This window comes from Homo sapiens, chromosome 14 (assembly GCF_000001405.40).
Source record: "Homo sapiens chromosome 14, GRCh38.p14 Primary Assembly".
Lineage (NCBI taxonomy): Eukaryota > Metazoa > Chordata > Mammalia > Primates > Hominidae > Homo > Homo sapiens.
Genome location: NC_000014.9, coordinates 81,139,172 through 81,159,318, shown reverse-complemented (window position 1 = coordinate 81,159,318; position 20,147 = coordinate 81,139,172). Strand labels below are relative to the sequence as shown.

At 40.1% G+C, this 20,147-nt stretch overlaps 1 protein-coding gene and 1 long non-coding RNA gene across 9 annotated transcripts in view; one reads left to right on the top strand and one right to left on the bottom strand.

The window, feature by feature from the left end:
* Positions 1–20,147, top strand: part of TSHR-AS1 (TSHR antisense RNA 1) — a 156,341-nt gene that overhangs the window by 11,088 nt on the left and 125,106 nt on the right. The window lies entirely within an intron of this gene.
* The window catches only part of TSHR (thyroid stimulating hormone receptor), a 190,686-nt gene continuing 183,551 nt past the window's right edge, over positions 13,013–20,147 (bottom strand). For both annotated transcript variants that reach the window (NM_000369.5, XM_011537119.3), the window contains 2 exons: positions 19,452–19,640; positions 13,013–16,379 (listed from right to left, as the gene is read on the bottom strand). In NM_000369.5, the coding sequence (NP_000360.2) occupies positions 14,966–16,379; positions 19,452–19,640 (1,603 nt within the window). In that variant the 3' untranslated portion in view covers positions 13,013–14,965. The remainder of the gene's footprint in view (positions 16,380–19,451; positions 19,641–20,147) is intronic.

Below are 20,147 nucleotides of genomic sequence, written 5' to 3'. Positions count from 1 at the left end.
GTCCTTTGCCCACTTTTCTTTTCTTTTCTTTTTTTTTTTTTTGAGACAGCGTCTTCCTTTGTTGCCCAGGTTGGAGTGCAGTGGTGTGATCTTGGCTCACTGCAATCTCCACCTCCTAGGTTCTAAGAGATTCTCCTGCCTCAGCCTCCGGAGCAGCTGGGATTACAGATGTGCACCATCACGCCCGGCTAATTTTGTATTTTTAGTAGAGACGGGGTTTCACCATATTGGCGAGGCTGGTCTTGAACTCCCGACCTCAGGTGATCCACCTGCCTCGGTCTCCCAAAGTGCTGGGATTACAGGCGTGAGCCACCGTCTCTGGCCATCCTTTGCCCACTTTTAAATGGAGTTATTTGTTTTTTTCTTGTTGAACTGAGCCAAACAAAAGCTCAGTTCAGGCAGGCCATGGTTGCTTATGCTGGTAATTCCAGCACTTTGAGAGGCTGCTGCGGACGGATCGCTTGAGTCGAGGAGTTCTGAGACCAGCCTGGGCAACATGGCGAAACCCCATTCTACAAAAAAGTACAAAAAATTAGCTGGGCATGATGGTGCTCTCCTGTAGTCCCAGCTACTCAGGAGGTTGAGGTGGGAGGATTGCTTAAACTTGGGAGGTGGAGGTTGCGGTGGGTGACAGAATGAGTCCTTGTCTCAAAAAAAAAAAAAACAAAAACAAAAAACAAAAAGAAAAAAAAATGAAAAAGCTTAATTTAACAGTTTTTCTTGCATGTGAATGACCTCTGAGCTTTTAAATGGAAAGTTGACACTGAGTTTTGGTGAATGGCAGGGGTTTTTGGTTTGTAATACAAGTGCTTTTTTTCTTATTAAGTTTTTCCTTGTAGGTTCTGGGTATCAGTCCTTTGTTGGATGCATAGTTTGCAAATATTTTCTCCCTTTCTGTAGACTGTTTACTCTGTTGATTATTTCTTTTGTTGTGCAGAAGCTTTTTAGTTTAATTAAGTTTCATTTTTCTGTTTTTGTTACGTCTTAGTCATGAATTCTTTGCGTAGGCCAATATCTAGAAGAGTTTTTCTTAGGTGTTCTTCTAGGATTTTTATGGTTTCAGGTTTTATGTTTAAGTCTTTAATCCTTCTTGAGTTAATTTTTTTTTATAGGGTGAGAGATAGGGGCCAAGTTTCATTCTTCCACATGTGGTTATCCAATTTTTCCTGCACCATTTATTGAAAAGAGAGTCCTCTGCCCAGTGTAACTTCTTGTTAGCATTATTGAAGATAAGTTGGATTGTTGGTATGTGGCTTCATTTCTGGATTCTCTATTTTGTTCCATTGATCTATGTGTCTATGTATGTACCAGTACTATGCTGTTTTGGTTATAATAGCCTTGCAGTGTAATTTGAAGTCAGGTAGTGTGATGCCTCCAGCTTTGTTCTTTTTGCTTAGGATAGATTTCTATGGAGTAACACTGCTCTGTAGTAACATTCAGAAACTGTAATAATTTTTATACTGTGGTGACACATATATCTTCCTCTCTAGATTCAAAGTTTTTTTAAAGTCTGGGACACAGTTAAAAAAATTCTGATGTATATGCTCTGCTTGCAGAAGGTACTCAATAAATGAATACAAGTCAAACAAATGCTCAATTCAAACACTTTCTTGCATGTAGATGACTAGTTCTCTGGGCTTTTAAATGGGAAGTTGAGACTGAGTTTTACTGAATTGCAGGAGTTTTTAGCTTGTAACCACAAGTGCTTCCTTACTGTAAGATAGATGACTCAATGAATAGGCTTCTTACAGAGAAAATGATGGACAGTGGACTCTTTTTTAATGATCGGTAAGAATTTATATAAGGCCATGTCTAATTTTTAACTACAGAGGATGACTATATCATAAAACAGAAAATTGTCAAATGTTCATGCTCTACCAGGGGTAAGCTATTATATTTGAGAGGACACATTTTTTTTAAAATTTCAATAGTTTTTGGGGAACAGGTAGTGTTTGGTTGCATGGAAAAGTTGTTTAGTGGTGATTTCATGGGAAAGTTGTTTAGTGATGATTTCTGAGATCTTTGTGTACCCGTCACTCAAGCAGTGTACACTGTACCTGGTGTGTACTCTTTAATCCCTCACCCACCTCCCAACCCTTCCCCCTGAGTCCCCAAAGTTCATTATATCATTATTATGCCTTTCATCCTCATAGCTTAGCTCCCACTTATAAGTGAGAACATATGATGTTTGGTTTGGGGGAGGATACATTTTTAAGGGCTCAGCATCAATTAAACATTTCATAGACATGAAAAATAATATATCAGAAATTCAATTCAAATCCAGCACGTATTTATTGAGCACATACTATGTGCCAGGGATTGTTCTAGGCTCTTGGGATGCACCAGTGAATATAACTGACAAAAATGTCTGCCTTTGTGGAGCTTATGTCCCATTATGTTTATTATAACATGATAAATAAACTAGTATATTAGGAAGTGGTAAGTACAGTAGAAAAAAAGAGGAAAATAGAGCAGGGTGAGAGGACCAGGAATACAGCATGGAACAAGTAACACATTTAAGTTAGGGTGGTCAGGACAGGCCTCACTAAAAGGTGCCATTTGAATAAAGCCCTGATGGGTGTGAGGGATTTCTCCATACAGCTATCCAGGAGAAAAGCATTCCAGACAGTGATGAGCCAATGTCATGGGTCTGGTTGGGGAGTTCATAGGTATGACCAAAGAAGAGCAGGAAGGCAGAGCAGCAAGAAGAAGTCAGCAGGGAGAAGACGTGTAGGAGATTAAAAAAAAAAAAGAGAGGCAATTTGGACCAGATCATACGGGTCTTGTTTAAAGACTTTGGCTCTTTTTTTTGAGACAGAGTCTTGCTTTGTCACTCAGGCTGGAGTGCAGTCGCATGATCTCGGCTCACTGCAACCTTCACCTCCCGTGTTCAAGAGATTCCCCTGCCTCAGCCTCCTGAGTAGCTGGGACTACAGGTGCCCACCACCGTGCCCAGTTAATTTTTGTATTTTTAGTAGAGATGGGGTTTTGCCATGTTGGCCAGGCTGGTGTCGATCTCCTGACCTCAAGTGATCTGCCTGCCTTGACCTCCCAAAGTGCTGGGATAACAGGCGTGAGCCACCATGCCCAGCCAACTTTGACTTTTGATATGAGAGAACTGGAGAGCAGAGGAATGACCTGATCTGACTTAAGTTTTAAGAGAACCACTGTAACTGATATGTTGAGAATACACTAGAGGTTGGCAAACTATTCTGTAAAGGGCCAGAGCATTTATGATCTGTGAGCTATACAGTTTCTGTCACAACTATTCAATGATTATAGCACAAAAGTAGCCATGCATAATATGTAAATGAATGAGCGTGGTTGTGTTCCATTAAAACTTTATTTATGAGCACTGAAATTTTATATAATTGTCATGTCCCTCAAAAGATTTTTTATTTTGATTTTTTCCAACTGGTTTAAAAATATAAAATCATTCTTAGCTTTTAGGATGTACAAAAGCAAGCAGTGAACCCAATTTGGCCACTGGGGAGTAGTTTGTCAACCCCTTGAATAGATTGTAGGGGGACAGGAGAACAATGGAGACTATTTAGTAATCCAAAGGAAAGAGATGGTGGTAATCCAGACGAGGATAATGGCAGTGCTTGTGTAAGAAGGGGCCATATTCTAAATATATATTGAAGGTTAAGCCAAAAAGATTTGTTGGTGGTTTGGATGTGGAGTGTGAGAGAAAGAGAAGAAACAAGGAAGACTTCAAGATTTTTTGTCTGAGCACTTTGAAGGATGTATTGCCATTGACCAAGATGGAGAAGGCAGTAGACGAAGTGGGTTTTGGAGTAGAAGATTAGGAGTTTGGTTTTGGACATGTTAATTTTGAGATTGCTATTAGATATTAAAGTGGAGCTGGTGAGGAGGCAGATGGATATATAAGCCTAGAGTTTGGAGAAAGGTCTGGTCTGGAGATAAGACATTTGGGAAGCATTGCATGTAGATAGCATTCAAAGTCTTGTGGTTGCATGAGATCACCTAGGGAATAAGTGTTGACAGAAAAGGCAAAAGAGAGCCAAGGACTCAATCCCAGAGTATTTTAGGTTGATGCAAAGAGAAGAAAGCAGCAAGGGCCGTTGAGGAGTGGTCAGTGAGGTAACTAGAAAGCCAGGATACTGTGGTGTCCTCAAAGCCAAGGGATGAAAGGATGTCAATGAGGAGGGAGTGAACAATTGGATCAAGTATTGCTGATAAGTAAGATAAGACCTGAAAACTGACCATTAGATTTAGCCATATGGATTCACAGATGCCCTTAACGAGATCACTTTCCATGAGCTGTGGGATTGAAAAACTAGTTAGAGTTGGTTTAACAGAGAACGGGAAAAGTGAGTAAAGATAACCCCATTTTTTTTTCTAGTTTTGTTGCAAAGGTGCCAAAGAAATAATGGGGGAAGAGTGAAATCAAGCAAGATTATTTTTTTCTAAACATGAGAAAAACGTTTGTATGCTGATTAGGGGTACCAATAAAAAAGAAGAATCCAAATACAGGAACTTTATTATTTTATAATAACTCAAAGAGGAAAATCTATACTCCATTTACTAGGAAATGGGCATCAATGTCTACAATAATCACACCAGGTATATTATATACACATAACATAAAAATACTCCAATCCGTTAGACTGACTAGCTATAAAAAGTTTTTAATGTTTAATTTACAGTTTTACTTGCCACCTTAGAATTTACAAGACCTTTTTGATGATGGATTGTATGACCCATTTCTGTTAAAGAAGCTGACCTGATAACTTGATTTTCCTTTTCATTAAACTTCCCCCTAACAGAGGCATTCAGTATCATTTTACTGACCATAGAACTATCATCATTAGTCTTACTTATCAATAATTTTATTAGCAACAAAAGCTGACAATGATTCTTGCCTTAAAAAATATTTCTGTATGTATCGCTAATACCAGTTTCTCCATTTCATCCTCCTTCCTTCTTAGTTTATTTAGAGCAAGCACAATCAGAGGAAATATAGGTTACAAGGAAACAAATCAATGGTGGTTTATTTATTTATTTTTTTAGAGACAGGGTCTTGCTTTGTTGCCCAGGCTGGAGTGCAGTGGCGCCATCTTGGCTCACTGCAATCTCTGCCTCCCCTTCTGCCTCAGCCTCCTTAGTGGTTGGGACTACAGGTAAGTGCCACTACACCTGGCTTTTTATTTTTATTTTTTGTAGAAATGGGGTTTTGCCATGTCGCTTAGGCTGGTTTCAAACTCCTGGACTCAAGCGATCTGCCCGCCGCAGCCTTCTAAAGTGCTGGGATTACAGGTAGGAGCCACCACACCCAGTCAAATCAGTGGCTGATAAGTCATTCAACTTACAACTTTCAATTTAACCTTTTGTTGGCAGCTCTCAGAGGACTTTGTAATTGAAAAGACAGAATCATAGAAACAGTAATCAGGTTCTCAGCAGACTTTTCAAAATACGTTTCCAAACATCCCTGTGGAATTAAGACCAACATTAGACAATCTACTGATTTTCCAGCCTGCTGGTGTCTCTCTGTGCTCAGATTTTGAATAAATGAATGACTTCAGCTTTGTTTTTCAATTAATTGTTATTTAATTTAAGACATCTTAAGAGATGTACATAAAAGTACTTTGTATAAGACAAAGGTGAAGATTGCCTTAGGCATATTTGAGAAGGTTTGTTCAATAAAAACTTAAGAAAATAAGTGAATTAGATGTTTCTGGACATTTCTTTCAACCGCTGATTTTGTTGTGGTTGTTGTTAACTTACCAAAAAGTTATAGAACCTTTCTCTAGAACTCGTGGATAATACTAAGCAATTGCTCTAAGAGTTAGCTATGTAAGTATGAAATTCTTAGCCCCTACATTTCCTTTTCAGCTGACTGGGACAGATGAAAAGCAGCACCAGCCACAGGTTTCTTTCTCATTCTGTGTAATTACCATCTCTAATCCTGAATCACTCAAACTTTCCTACCACTATACTCTGCACCTATTCTCTGTTTCATATCCTATCTATGATGATGATTGTTAAAAAGTTTCTCAATATATCCTAGATGCAGCATCAACCACCACTGGCCCTTTTCCCCCTTTTGATGTTGGCAATGGGGGCATAGAAACTACAGTACACTTTTTAGGAGTTGGACAGGGACAGAATGGAATAGGTTGGACAAAGTATATTGGGATTGGGATAAGATGGAGGGGTTGGTGTAGGTTGAAGTTCTTCCAGATGTAATACAGGGTGTGGCTGCAGGGTGAGTGGGTTTGAAGAGAATTTATGGGTACCAAAGAGGCTGGATGGGCAAATAGTTAAAGAAGCAAGAGAAAATACTTTAACTTTCTCCAAGTATTGCTCCCATGAGTGGCTCAACTGTACTAATTAAAATGAAATCAAGTAGCAACTTGGATGTCTGGAAAGACCTCTGAGTGCCAAAGGTGTGTGCTCACTCTTTCCTTTTCACAGAGTTGGCCTGCAGATGATGAAAACAGGTATGAGGTCAGGCATCTCCTCTTTCATCCAGACCATGGCATTGATTGCTCAGGGAATCTCATTTCTCCAACATTTGCTGAAGCTATTAATACTTCCCCTAGTTTCCTTCCTGTCAGAGTGTTTGAAGAACACTTTGAGAAATCAGAAAAATATTTGAGAGCAAATAGTGTGAAATGGTTCTCTTTGTTGTTAATAACAAATCATAGGAGTCCCATATTCCCACAGATCTACAAATCATGTGTCAATATCTAGTTTGTAAGTGTCTCCATTTGTCCTCTATCATTCCAGAAGTCTTTTTCATATGATGTCAGGGGAACTGAAATGGAATGTAATAAAATTTAAACCTGGGATTTGCTGAAAAGAAACAGAGGTGGTATTAGTCTTGTTTTTCTCAAACTTTTACCTCATTTCTTTAATATAGCTCTTGCTGAGCAACTTGAAAATTCTCCTAGAGAATTGAGGCTTGGATTTTTTGCAGCTGCCCTTGAGGTCAATCTTTAAATTGCAGTGTCTATGGTGAAAGAGAAAATTGAGTCACAGGAAGGAATAAGTTATGAAGAGATTTTTGTCAAAATATTTCCCTTCCAATAGGCAGATAGATAGTGCTACTCTTGACAGCAAATTTCTTTTTGTTTTTTATTATTTTTATTTTTATTCTGATGGAGTCTCACTCTGTCACCCAGGCTAGAGTGCAGTTGCATGATCTTGGCTCACTGGAACTTCTGCCTCCCAGGTTCAAGCTATTCTTGTGCCTCAGCCTCCTGAGTAGGTGGAATTATAGGCATGTGCTACCATGCTTGGTTAATTTTTTGTATTTTTAGTAGAGACGGGGGTTTTACCATGTTGGCCAGGCTGGTCTCGAACTCCTGACCTCAAGTGATCTGTCTGCCTCAGCCTCCCAAAGTACTGGGATTACAGGCGTGAGCCACTGCGCCCAGCCTTGACAGCAAATTTCCTAATGACTAGAATTCTGTGTTTAAACCTCATTATTGTAAATAATGCTGCAATGAACATAGGAGTGCAGATACACCTTTGACATGCTGATATCAAGTCCTTCCAATATATTCCAGAAATGGGATTACTGGATCATATGGTAGTTTTGTTTTTAGTTTTTTGAGGAAACTCCATACTATTTTCCATAATGACTGTACTGATTTAGATTCCTACCAACAGTGTACTAGGGTTCCTTTTTCTCTGTATCCTCACCAACACTTGCTATCTTTAATCTTTACACAATGAAATACTGTTCAGGCTTAAAAAAGAGCAAAATCCTGTCATTTGAGACAACAGGGTACATCTAGAAGACATTATGCTAAGTGAAATAAGCCAGGAACAGAAAGACAAATAGTACATGATCTCACTTACATGTGGAATCTGAAAAAACTTGAATTGATACAGGTAGAGACTAGAATGATGGTTACCAGAGGCTAGGGGGAAAAGGGCGGAGGGAGCGGGAATGGGGAGTTACTAGTCAAAGGGTACAAAGTTTCAGCTAGGCAGGAGAAATAAGTTTTGCTATCTCTTGCACAGCAGGGTAACTATAGTCAATGATAAAGCATTGTATATTTCAAAATAAGTAAGAGAGTAAATTTCAAATGTATCAACACAAAAAATGTCAAATAAGTGAAGTGATGAATATGTTTATTAGCTTGATTTAACCACTTCCCATGTATACATACATCAAAACATCACATTGTACTGTGTAAATTGAATATGATTTTTCCAATTAAAATAATATAAAATTTAAAAAATCCCATTACAGGCTGGGCGGGGTGGCTCATGCCTGTAATCCAGCATTTTGGTAGGCTGAGGCAGGCAGATCATTTGAACCCGGGGCAACATGGTGAAACCCTGTCTCTACAAAAATAAGCCAGGAGTGGTGCTGTGCACCTGTATTCCCAGACACTTGGGAGGCTGAGGTGAGGGGATCGCTTGAGCCAGGAAAGTTGAGGCTGCAGTGAGCAGAGATGGCACCACTGCACTCCAGCCTGGGCCACAGAGTGAGACTCTGTCTCAAAAAATAAATAAATAAAATAGAGAATAAAAATCCCATTATGATGAATTATTAATACATCATTACATGGTTTCCATACCATGGAGCTATTTCTATAGTGCTTCATGACTGAAATCCCCTCAGAATTCATTACAAAAAACCATGTTATTGTTTTTTAAGACTAACAGGCATAGGACTGATATATATATATATATATAGACTTTTAATTGTATGTTGTTAAATAATGATGGCTATTACCTTCTTAAGCCCTCTCCATCTAAAATACTTCAACAAATGAAACAGAATACTTCAAAATATTTCTAAATTTCCAGGAGAAATTTCAAAATTATACTAAATGATTGAGGGTGACAGATTTGAAGTTGCTTATACAAATAACTTTTTCTCTATTCTGTTTAAAGATTTTTACTTACTAAATTCATATGAAGAACAACAATTAGTTGCTTAATTTTCCTTATGCAACTTATAGCTATGCATTTATGGGAAACAAGTATTTTGACAAAATATGATTATGCTGACCAATGGAATAAATTATACAGGGGTTTCACCTTCTTAGTGTTCAGCTTACCAGATGTTGCTACAAGATAAGCACTTTAAAACTCACTGGCTTAAGCGCAATTCAAAATTGCAAAATTGTGGAACCAAACCAAAAGCCCATCAATCAACTAGTGAATAAAGAAACTGGTACATATATATGATGGAATACTACACAGCCATAAAAAGGAATGAATTAACAGCACTTGCAGTAAGCTGGATGAAATTGGAGGCTATTATTCTAAATGATGTGACTCAGGAATGGAAAATCAAACATCATATGTTCTCACTGATACGTGGGAGCCGAGCTGTGAGGACGCAGAGGCATAAGAGTGATACAATGGACTTTGGGGACTTGGAGAAGAAGAGTAGGAGGGGGGCGAGGGAAAAAAGACTACAAATATGGTGCAGTGTATACTGCTTGGGTGGTGGCTGCACCAAAATTTCACAAATCACCACTAAAGAACTTATTCATGTAACCAGATACCACCTGTACTCCAATAACTTACAGGGAAAAAACCCCAACTCACTGGCTTAGATTTATCACATCCTAAAAAAATCTAAATTTCATAATAGCTAGATTATTATTCATGTCACATCACTGATATCTGACTCCCCTAGTATAGCTCTAAATACACAATAACTCAATTAGCCATTCTGCGAATTTCTTTAAATGCCACATCTTTTATTGTTAATTATTTAAAGCATAATATTATTACGATAATTTCCAATCCAATATTTTTAAAAAGTATGTACATATTTAAAAATCAGCAGTACAGAAGAGTACCAGTTGAAAAGTTTCTACTTGTATTAGTCTGCTTGGGCTGCCATAACAAAATACCACAGACTGGGTGACTTAAACAACAGAAATATATTTTCTTACAGTTCTGGAAGTTAGAAGTTCAAGATCAATGTCCTATGAGGGTTGATTTCTGGGGAGCCTTCTCTTCTTGACTTGTAGACATCTGCCTTCTTGCTGTGTGCATGGGAGTGGGGAGGAGGGACAGCTCTTCTTTCTTTTTTTAAAAAATTTTTATTTTCAATTATTATGGGTACATAACATATATATATATTTATGGGGTACATGCGATGTTTTGATACAGGCATGCAATGTGTAATAATCACATCAGGGTAATTGGGGTATTCATCCTCTTAAGGACGATAGCCCTACTGGTTTAAAGCCCCACCCTTGTGATACCATTTAACCTTAATTGCTTCCTTAAAGGCCCTACCTCCAAATATAGTCACATTGGGAGTTAGGGCTTCAGCATATAAATTTAGGGGAGACATAACTCAGTCCTGATATCACTCAATCCCTAAGTCCAAATTCCAGAGAAAACCACTTCAAGCTATTTTCTGATTTTAGTCACTGTAATTGTATAATATACTTATGTACTTGTTTTCTGAACGATAAATATTTAGACATCATATCTTTTGGCTGCATATAATGAAGATTAGGAAATTACAAGTGACCTTTGAACAATACGGGTTTGAACTGCGTGGGTCTACTTACAGGCAGATTTTTTTCTACCTCTGCTACCCCTGAGACAGCAAGACCAACCCCTCCTCTTCCTCCTCCTCCTCAGCCTGCTCAGTGTGAAGACGATGAAGACCTTTATGGTGATCCACTTCCACTTAATTAATAGTAAATATATTTTCTGTCCTTATGATTTTCTTAATAACATTTTCTTTTCTCTAACTCGCTTTATTGTAAGAACATAGTATGTTATACATATACAAAATATGTGTTAATCAACTGTTTACGTTATTGGTAAGGCTTCTAGCGATCAGTAGGCTATTAGTGGCTAAGTTTCTGGGGGATGAAAGGTTATATTCAGATCTTCAACTCCAGTATTTTTTTTTTTTATTCTGGAGGCATTGATGATGTCGCTCTGTTGTCTTCTAGTTTATACTGTTATTAATATCTTTTCCAATGTCTACTTTTCTTTCTTGATTCTCCCTCAAGCATTTAAGGTTTGCCTTTTACTTTTGGTGTTCTGACATTTTATAAGTGCTGTTCTGCCCATGTGCCTTTTCATTCATCACCTTTTGCACTAAGTGGACACTATCAATCTTTACCAGCTTTGGAAAATTTTCTCCTTCTGTTTCCTTGATGATTATGCCTTCTACGTTTTCCTTAGGACTCCTCTTGGACAGATGTTTGGCCTGGAGACGGATCCTCTGCATCTTTTAACTTTTGTCTTATATTTCACACCTTTGTTTACTTGTTCAACATCCCAAGAAATTTCCTCACTTTAACTTCCACTCCTTCTGGTAAAGCTCTTGCTTTGGCAATCTCATTTAAAATTTTCCAAAACTCTTTCTAATTTTTGATTACTACTATTGTTTTAATAGTAATTTTGATTGTTTTTGGGTCTGACATTCTCTCCAATTTCTCTGAAGTTATTAAGTGAAATTAAACAACAATATTCTGTTTATGAATGATCTATTTTCTCTGGAGAAATGTTCTTTTGTACATTCTGGCCTTGTGTGTGTGTGTGTGTCTCTGTGTCTGTGTGCTATTGATGTGCAGTTTATTTCTCTCAAATGTCTGGCAATTATTGTGTCTTCTTTATATTTTTGAGTGAAGAATGAGAATAGCTAATGTCAGCAGATTGTATAGATCATTTTCCCCAAGATGTTTCTCCCTGACTTCAGGTGGGGGTGGTGGGGGGTGCTGATGGTAACGCCTCAATGATCAGGCTTCACTTATGTGTGAGGGCAGGAAGTGGGCCAGTGGGAGGAGTTCCCTGTTTACAGGAATCATTCACTTTCTTTGAGATATTAATTGCAGCAAACACTGCATATGTCAGTTATTCTATGAATGGAGTGATGGCAGATTGGAGGGTCCAAGTGACACAGACTTTCAATTAATTGCCCTAATTAACCCTCAGTCCTGTAACCTTCAGGCTTGGCAGGCTCACTGGGACTCTGCAGGGAAGTATATTCTTCTGTAGCTGCAGCCTTATCCTGTCAGTGTTCTAGGCTGTAACCTCCTGTACAGTTAGTTACCATCAACTCAAGGCCATACACCTTCCATCTTTCAGAAAGCTATCAACACGTTTGCTTTGCTGGTGGTTCTATTTCTCCTGTTCACCATGCAGTTTTGGCTTGGTCTCATTTTAAATTTCTTCCCTGTCATGTCAGTGGGATTTGAAAGAAAGTCAGTCTACCACTTGGAGCTGGAACTTTTATAGCTTTTAAAACAGAATGCAGTGATGCCAACAAGTTTCTCTGGCACCCTTTAGGTACTCAGAATGAATGAGAATCACTCAATTATGTTATGAAACAGTTTTCTCCTAAAGTAGGAGCATTTGTTCTCAAACTTCTATTGTTTTAAAAAAGTATTGTGGTTATAGTTTTCTTCTTTTTGCCCTGACTTTTACTTTATTGCCACTCTCATGGTGCTGCCCTGTAAGACCCTCTCCTCATTGGCTGCTTCTTTGATGCAGTAGATTATCCTTAAAGCAAGAGTCAATAAACTTTGGGGGTGTTTTAAGAGACAGCCTTTTGAGAAACATGCATGAGCTTTAGAGAATGAATTGTGTGACCTCCACTGCGACTAGTCTGTGGCCATTTATCCTCAATGATTTGGGTTTATCTTCAGATAATTGAAAGGTGCTAGATAACATGAGCTCTGAATAATAATAAGGCCTCTGAGGCCTTAGAGGTTTATTGTCTTCATTAGCACACTATTTAAATTTCTAGTGTCAATACCAATCATTTGCTTGATATATTTGGTTTTATTGTTTTTTCTCTTAGTGATCCCTGTCAATTAATCATAATTCAGTTCACCAGGAGTAAGTTTTTCCACATAAAGACCACTTTTGATCAAGACACAATGTTATATTTAAGTTATTAATTGACAGTCAACAACTTATTTATTAATATGGATTCATTAGCAAATGTGCCAATTAGTTTTCTTGTCTTCAGTTTTAACACATACAATAGTAACCCCGAAAGAAACTCACAGATTAACAAAAAAGAACAACACTCTAGGACTTGGCACGATTATTCCATAGGAAGAAAATTTATTTCATGTTGTGAGTGCAAATTTTAGTAACAATTCTGTTGAAGTCACTTTTCTAGGACTCTGTTTCCAAAGCAATTAGTTCAGCTATTCAAGATGAAACACATTATTTATCAAGATGTGATATTTTGAAATGTCACAGGAGAGAAACACATGACAAAAGGCAACACATTTGTTTAATTTCATTAGTTACAAGCGAACTTCTAGGTAAGTCATGATTTTCGATGTTTATAATATTTCTATTAAGATGTGCAGGTCTCAATGATAGTGATGAGTGGGTATGGCTGTGGAGAGATTCCAGGTGAGTCCAGCAGGGACCATCTGTGGGGACCCATTAACGACACTTCACAATCTTAAAACAACAAAGAGCTTTTATTTCATGGTGTGGTTTATGAGCATTCAGAAGTAATGTCATCTCTGCTTGGAGACTTTTCTAGCAGGACATTAGGGGGCTATCATCACAGGTAACCTGGAGAGTACATCTGTAGATAAAGATCCTGACTATTTTAAGTAAAGAAGAATTATTGGGGAAAAGAAGCTTTATGTCCAGTGATCAACAGGGCTGGAAAGAGCTGGCAGTTTCAGAAAAGAAGAAACCTCTCTTGACAGCTTTAGTATCATACCGTGGACTGGAAATGGCAAAAATCATCCCTAAAGACAAGCGAAGTGTTTTGAAGTGACTCTTCATAGTGAAGTAGCAACTCTAAATAGCCAAAATTTGCAACCATCGTTTACTCTTTTATATAAACACGAATCTGTTTTTGGCCTGATATAACAGCTGGGTAGATCTAGTAATTAAATGAATGATTCAGATCCAGGCGAGTATGTTTACTTAATTGAATTTTTGGCTCAGACATCATAATCAAAAGTGAAACAAAGGAAAAATTTCCTGGGTCATGTGTCTAGGCTTCAAGGACTAGGAGTCAGCAGCCCTACAAAATAGGAAAAACAGATTCTACTTACTTAGTGCTCTTCTTTCTCTTTATCTTAGAAATATATATTTGAGGGAAAGGGATGTACTAGAGTTTTAAAATTGGAAGAAGCTATTGGACTCCTTCATTTCTACAGATTTAAGTCCCATAGTTAATTAGTGTCCAGCCTGTTTTATTAATCAACAGGGGATTGAGTGTGCTCTGCCCATAATTCCCACTTATTGCTACTCAGAAAGACTTCCTAGAGTTCACATCTTTTATGCTATGAGGCTGGCCAAGAAGAGCAATTCTTAGTTTGCTAGGCCACATAAGCTGAAATCTTGCCAGTTTTTCCAGGCAACACATAATAGCTTGGTCACATCAGGTGGATTCTTGTGAAGAGATGATTAATAGGTTGAGTTAAAAAACAAAACAAAGCAAAACAAAACTTAAAGCTAATTCTTACCCTCCTTCATGTCTCATAATAGCTGTTTCTTGTATGACAGCTAGCTGTGTTTGGCTTTTCAGTTTTAAGGAAATCAAGTTCTCTTTGTATCAGGGAACATCTAGTTGAACTGAGCCAACGTGGGACTGATTTTATCTTGTGGTCACCAACCAAATTAATAGCATTTTCCATTTGCTGAATCTTTAGTATGAAATGTTATACAAAACTGAGAAGCTCTATATTGACATAGCTCAGTTAATATTTACTGAACATCCTACACAATGACATCTCTGGACTTGGCATCAAGAAAGTCTTCTAGATAGTGTAGATTATTTTGATTTCACCTGGCATTCAAATATGCTGGTAGCCTAACTTCCTTCTTGGGGGCAATGATTAGGTTAATACTAATCACTCTCCAGAGATAAACTCTTGCCCCATGAAACATTGAAACATCGCCTGCACAAGAGTGAGGGCAGCTATGTGTTGGGGGTGTCATGGGATTGGAATGCATATTCAAGAAACTATTATTTTGTAAGTTCCCCTACCATTGTGAGTAGTGTAGTGTTAACTTACAAAACCGTTTGCATATACTCTTCTGAGATTTGGCCTTGCTTCTTTGGGGTTAGATGGGAGTTTTCAATCAGTTCATAGACATCTTCCATGTTGTGGAGACCCTGCCTCATCTCGTGGGTAACCTTTTGAACCTGAATATCAGTGCTGTTCTTTGGAGGAACCCTCTGCCCCCGGTATGCCTGAGCCTGGCGTTTACAGATGCCAAACTTGCTGAGTAGGATGAACACATCCCTCTGGAAGGCCTTGGTGAAAATAGCATAGAGGAATGGATTGGCACAGGAGTTAAGTGGATAGAAGAGTACCAGCAAGATTTTGGAGTTGCTAACAGTGATGAGAGGCTTGTTCAGAATTGCTGACAGAGCATAGAATGAGATTGGGGCCATGCATATGAAGTCGGTGAAGATCAACACAGCCATCCTCTTGGCAATTTTGGTATCTTTGTCCCCTGGGTTGTACTGCGGATTTCGGACTGTGATGTAGATCTTCACATAACAGCAGCAGACGATGACGAAGGCAACTATGTTGAGCGTCAGAACAAAAACAATATATGCCAGAGCAAGAGGGGTCTCGGTGTCCATGGGCAGGCAGATACTGACTTTGGCATAGCTACTTATTCCCACCAAAGGAAGCAGGGCGAGAAGGAAGCAGCAAACCCAGCCCCCAACCATGATGGCACATGCGTGCCTGAGGCGGATCTTCCGGTCCAGGCGCATGGCGAAGGTGATGGCATACCAGCGCTCCAGGGTGATGACCGTCAGCGTATACACCGATAACTCGCTTGCAAAGACAGTGAAGAAACCAGCCGTGTTGCACCCAGGGCCTGTCTGCCAGTCGATGGCATGGTTGTAGTACTCAGAGTGAGTGTAGAGGTCTACAGAGGCGATGAGGAGCAGGTACATCCCCATGCAGAAATCCGCAAAGGCCAGGTTGCACATGAGAAAGCGGGGGACGTTCAGTTTGTAGTGGCTGGTGAGGAGAATAAGCAGGACAAAGACATTGCCCAGGAGAGCCAGCAGACTAACGAACCACACCACAATTCTCAGGAACTTGTAGCCCATTATGTCTTCACACGGGTTGAACTCATCGGACTTGGGGGTACACACCATGTCTTCACTGTCCCCACATATGGTGTAGTCATAATGGCTGTCAAAAGCTTGTAGAGTCTCTTCCTGGGGGTTTTTGAGCTCCTGGCCAAAACCAATGATCTCATCCTCTTGTTCTTCAAAGAAGACGTAATAATGAGCGTTGTTATGAGTATCCTGGAACTTGGACTTTTCCTTGTACCCAACAATGCTGTCACCCAGATTCTCTTCATATTCCTGGTGGAGGGGGCTATTCAAGGCATTCACAGATTTTCTCTGGCGCAAGCTCTGCATACTGCTCTCATTACACATCAAGGACTCAAGGATTCTGCAAGGCAACAGAAAAGAGTCAGTGCCAGGCTGGGCGCAGTGGCTCATGACTGTAATCCCAGCACTTTGGGAGGCCAAGGCAGGTGGATTGCTTGAGCCTAGGAGTTTGAGACCAGCCTGGGCAACATGGTGAAATCCCATCTCTATAAAAAATGCAAACATTGGCTGGGCATGGTGGTATGTGCCTATGGTCGTAGCTACTCGGGAGGCTGAGGTGGGAAAATCACCTGAGCCTGGGGAGGTCAAAGCTGCAGTGAGGCGAGATCAGGCCACTATACTCTAGCCTGGATGACAGAGTGAGACCCTGTCTCAAAAAAAAAAAAAAAAAAAAGAATGCTTGTTTAAAACCCACGAATGGTTCCCACATTTATGAAAATGTGCAAACTACTTACTATGATGTACATAATTCTATAAGGTTCTACAGGATCCAGGCAGGCCTGTTTCTGTGACATCATTCCTATGACCTCCCCTCCCCTACTGTGCTCCAGTGGCATTGGTCTTATTTCTCTTCTGCAACCACTTCAAGAACAGTGATTAAAAAAAAAAAAGTGGCCAAGTGTGCTGGCTCACACCTGTAGTGACTCAATCCCAGCACTTTGGGAGGCCAAGGCAGGCACATCACTTGAGGTCAGGAGCTTGAACCAGCCTGGCCAACATGGTGAAACCCCATCTCTACTGAAAATCCAAAAATTAGCCAGGCGTAGTGGCACGTGCCTGTAATTCCAGCTACTTGGGAGGCTGAGGCAGGAGAATCGCTTAAACCTGGGAGGTGGAGGTTGCAGTGAGTCAAGATTGCGCCACTGCATTCCAGGCTGAGTGGCGACAGAGTGAGACTCTGTTTAAAAAAAAAATGTGGATGCTGGAGCCAGTCGCCTTGGTGGGAACCTGGCTCAATTATTGACTAGCTTGGGTAGGCCCATGAAGTTTGGTTAACTCATTTGTAACATGGGACAATGGGAGTGACTATTTCATATAGGGTTATTAAAGGATTCAATGAATTTATCTTTTTAAGGCTCTTACAATAGCACCTGCAGCTTTGTGAGTGCCATATGGTGGTTATTGTTATTATTATTCCTATTCAAAGCTCTAAAACCCTATGTTCCCATTGCCTGAAAAACCCATGGCTGCCTCTACTCATCATTATTTAGTTTCAAACTGAATATTTTAAAAATAAAACATTTATGTATTTTTAGTAGATACAGGGTTTCACCATGTTGGCCAGGCTGGGCTTGAACTCTTGACCTCAAGTGATCCGCCCACCTCTGCCTCCCAAAGTGCTAGGATTACAGAAGTGAGCCACTGCCCCCGGCCAGCCTGTTTATTTTCTGACTTCCTCCATTAGACAGTAAGCAAAATACAAGAGGGAATTCTTGTCTGTTCTATTTACAACAGCCAGGCACATAGAAGGTGCTCAGTAAATATCTGTTTAACAAATGAACAAATGGACACTACCATACAGGCATGCTTGTGGAAATAAGATTTAGTTTTTTCCTTGCTCACCAGACTCACAACAAAAGGGATTCTTTAACTTGCCTCAGCTGCTGAGCAGAGTTTGAGTGATCTCTTGGGTTCTGCTTAAAATGTCCAATGGACTTGCTCTTCTCAACTGGAGGCTAGGGAAAAATCTAGACCCTGCCCCTGAGGTCCACTTAAGCCTCCCACCCAGCCCTTGTCCAGTCCTTCTCAATGCCGCATGGCATCAGTGTAGAGTCCACTATCACCATCCTCTACCCCACTCCTGGCTTTTTGCAGCTATGATGCCCATATTGGCCTTCTTTGTGTGTGTGTGTGCATGTGCCTGTGTGTGATGGAATCTCAGAATCTTGCTTTGTTGCCCAGGCTGGAGTGCACTGGCACGATCTCGGCTCACTGCAACCTCCGCCTACCGGGTTCAAGCAATTCTTCTGCCTCAGCCTCTCCAGTAGCTGGGATTACAGGAACCCACCACCACATCTGGCTAATTTTGTTTTTTGTATTTTTAGTACAGACGGGGTTTCACCATGTTGGCCTGGCCGGTCTCGAACTCCTGACCTCAGATGATCTGGCCATCTCAGCCTCCCAAAGTGCTGGGATTACAGGCGTGAGCCACTGTGCCCGGCCACCATATTGGCCTTCTTTGTATGGCTGTTTTAGCTTCTGCCCTCACACCTAGATCTGATATTTTCCTGACTGCAATTATGTGTGTAGTAAGTCAATCACTAAATACATAGAAGCTGAGGAGGACTGAATAGAGATGATGAAGGTGGATTAGGAGAACAGGAGATTGTACAAGACACAATGGGGGAAATAATGCAGAGTAAAAGCAAAAAAGTAAAAGAATCAGAGAAAGCCTGGAGAGAAAATGAAGGCAATTCCTCCTTCGCAGGCTCATAAGCAGCCTGATGTGCACATACTGTATATCATAGTTAATATTAATGAAGATCTTATAATATTCCAGGCCATTCCATTCCAGTGTTTTCCATTCAGTTTCTCATTTAATCTTCTCAAAACTGCTATGAATGTTAGTATTAGGATCTCCATTCCCAAAGACTCAGAGTGGTTAAGTAACTAGGCTGGGATAACACAGCTTGAAAAATGGCAGAGCTGCGGTATAAACCCAGCTGACTCCAAAGCCTGCAGGCATGTAACCAGGGAGCTATGACATTTGCAAGGCCCAAACCAATCAGGTAACCCAACTGTTTGTGTTGTTTATAAGTCTGTTCTCATGGTTGTGGTGTCTGGGGTCTAATATGTGTTGCAGTATCTAATTCTGAATTGTACCTGGAAACCGGACATCATATCTACATAACCTCTACAAGATTCTATGAGATCTGGTTGTGTTTCTCTCTCCTGTGCCATCTGTCACCTCCTCTGCTCTACCGCTATCCAGCAGCAATTGCCTTATTTCTCAGCTGCACCCACTTTGGGTCCGCAGGGTCACTGTGTCCCATGGATTTCCTGTTTCATATGGATGCTTCCAATTTCCTCTCCACCTGGTTTTCAAACCAGGAAGCATCTTCCCCAAAACCAAGAAATGAATTCCACTTCCACCAAGGTCTTTTGTCACTTATGCCGGGTCCCTGCCACTTACCCTCTGATTTTCTTCTGATTCTTAAAAGCACAGCAGTGGCTTGGGTAAGAAAGGTCAGCCCGTGTGAGGTGAAGGAAACTCAAGGAAAGTGGAAGTTTCTTAAGAGTCCAGGTGTTTCTTGCTATCAGTTCCTTCAGGTGCTCCAGGCCTTTGGATGGAAGGGCAGTGACACTGGTTTGAGACACGTCCCTGGGAGGCAGAGAACAGAAAAATGCAGAGAGGCAGTGAGCAGCCAGGGCCTTCTCAGCCTTGGCCAGAAACTCAAACAGGCCTGAGGTTAATTGGGAGATGATATGCTCCTTTCTTCTACTGAGTACATAAGCTGAGCTTCTGGTCTAAGGAGGGATGGATATTAGGCTTCTAAGCCTGTGTTATAGGAACTCCTTGGAATTCCAGTATCCAGTAGTACAAATGCTATTTCCACAGTCATTTTATTCTATCCATCACAATACATGCAAACTCTTGGAATCAGAGAGAGATGTCAATTTTACTCTGCAACATGCCACCATGTGACTATGAAAGGGTCTCAAGAGGCAAGAGAAATGAAGTAGAACAGAGACGAAGGGGACTACTTTGCTATCAGCTGCTGTGGGGACTAGAGTTTGGGGACTGATAAACTGCTCACTGATATGAATCAACATCAGTATCATGAAAATCTGATAATGATGCAGACCTCAGAGTCATAACCAGTTACAT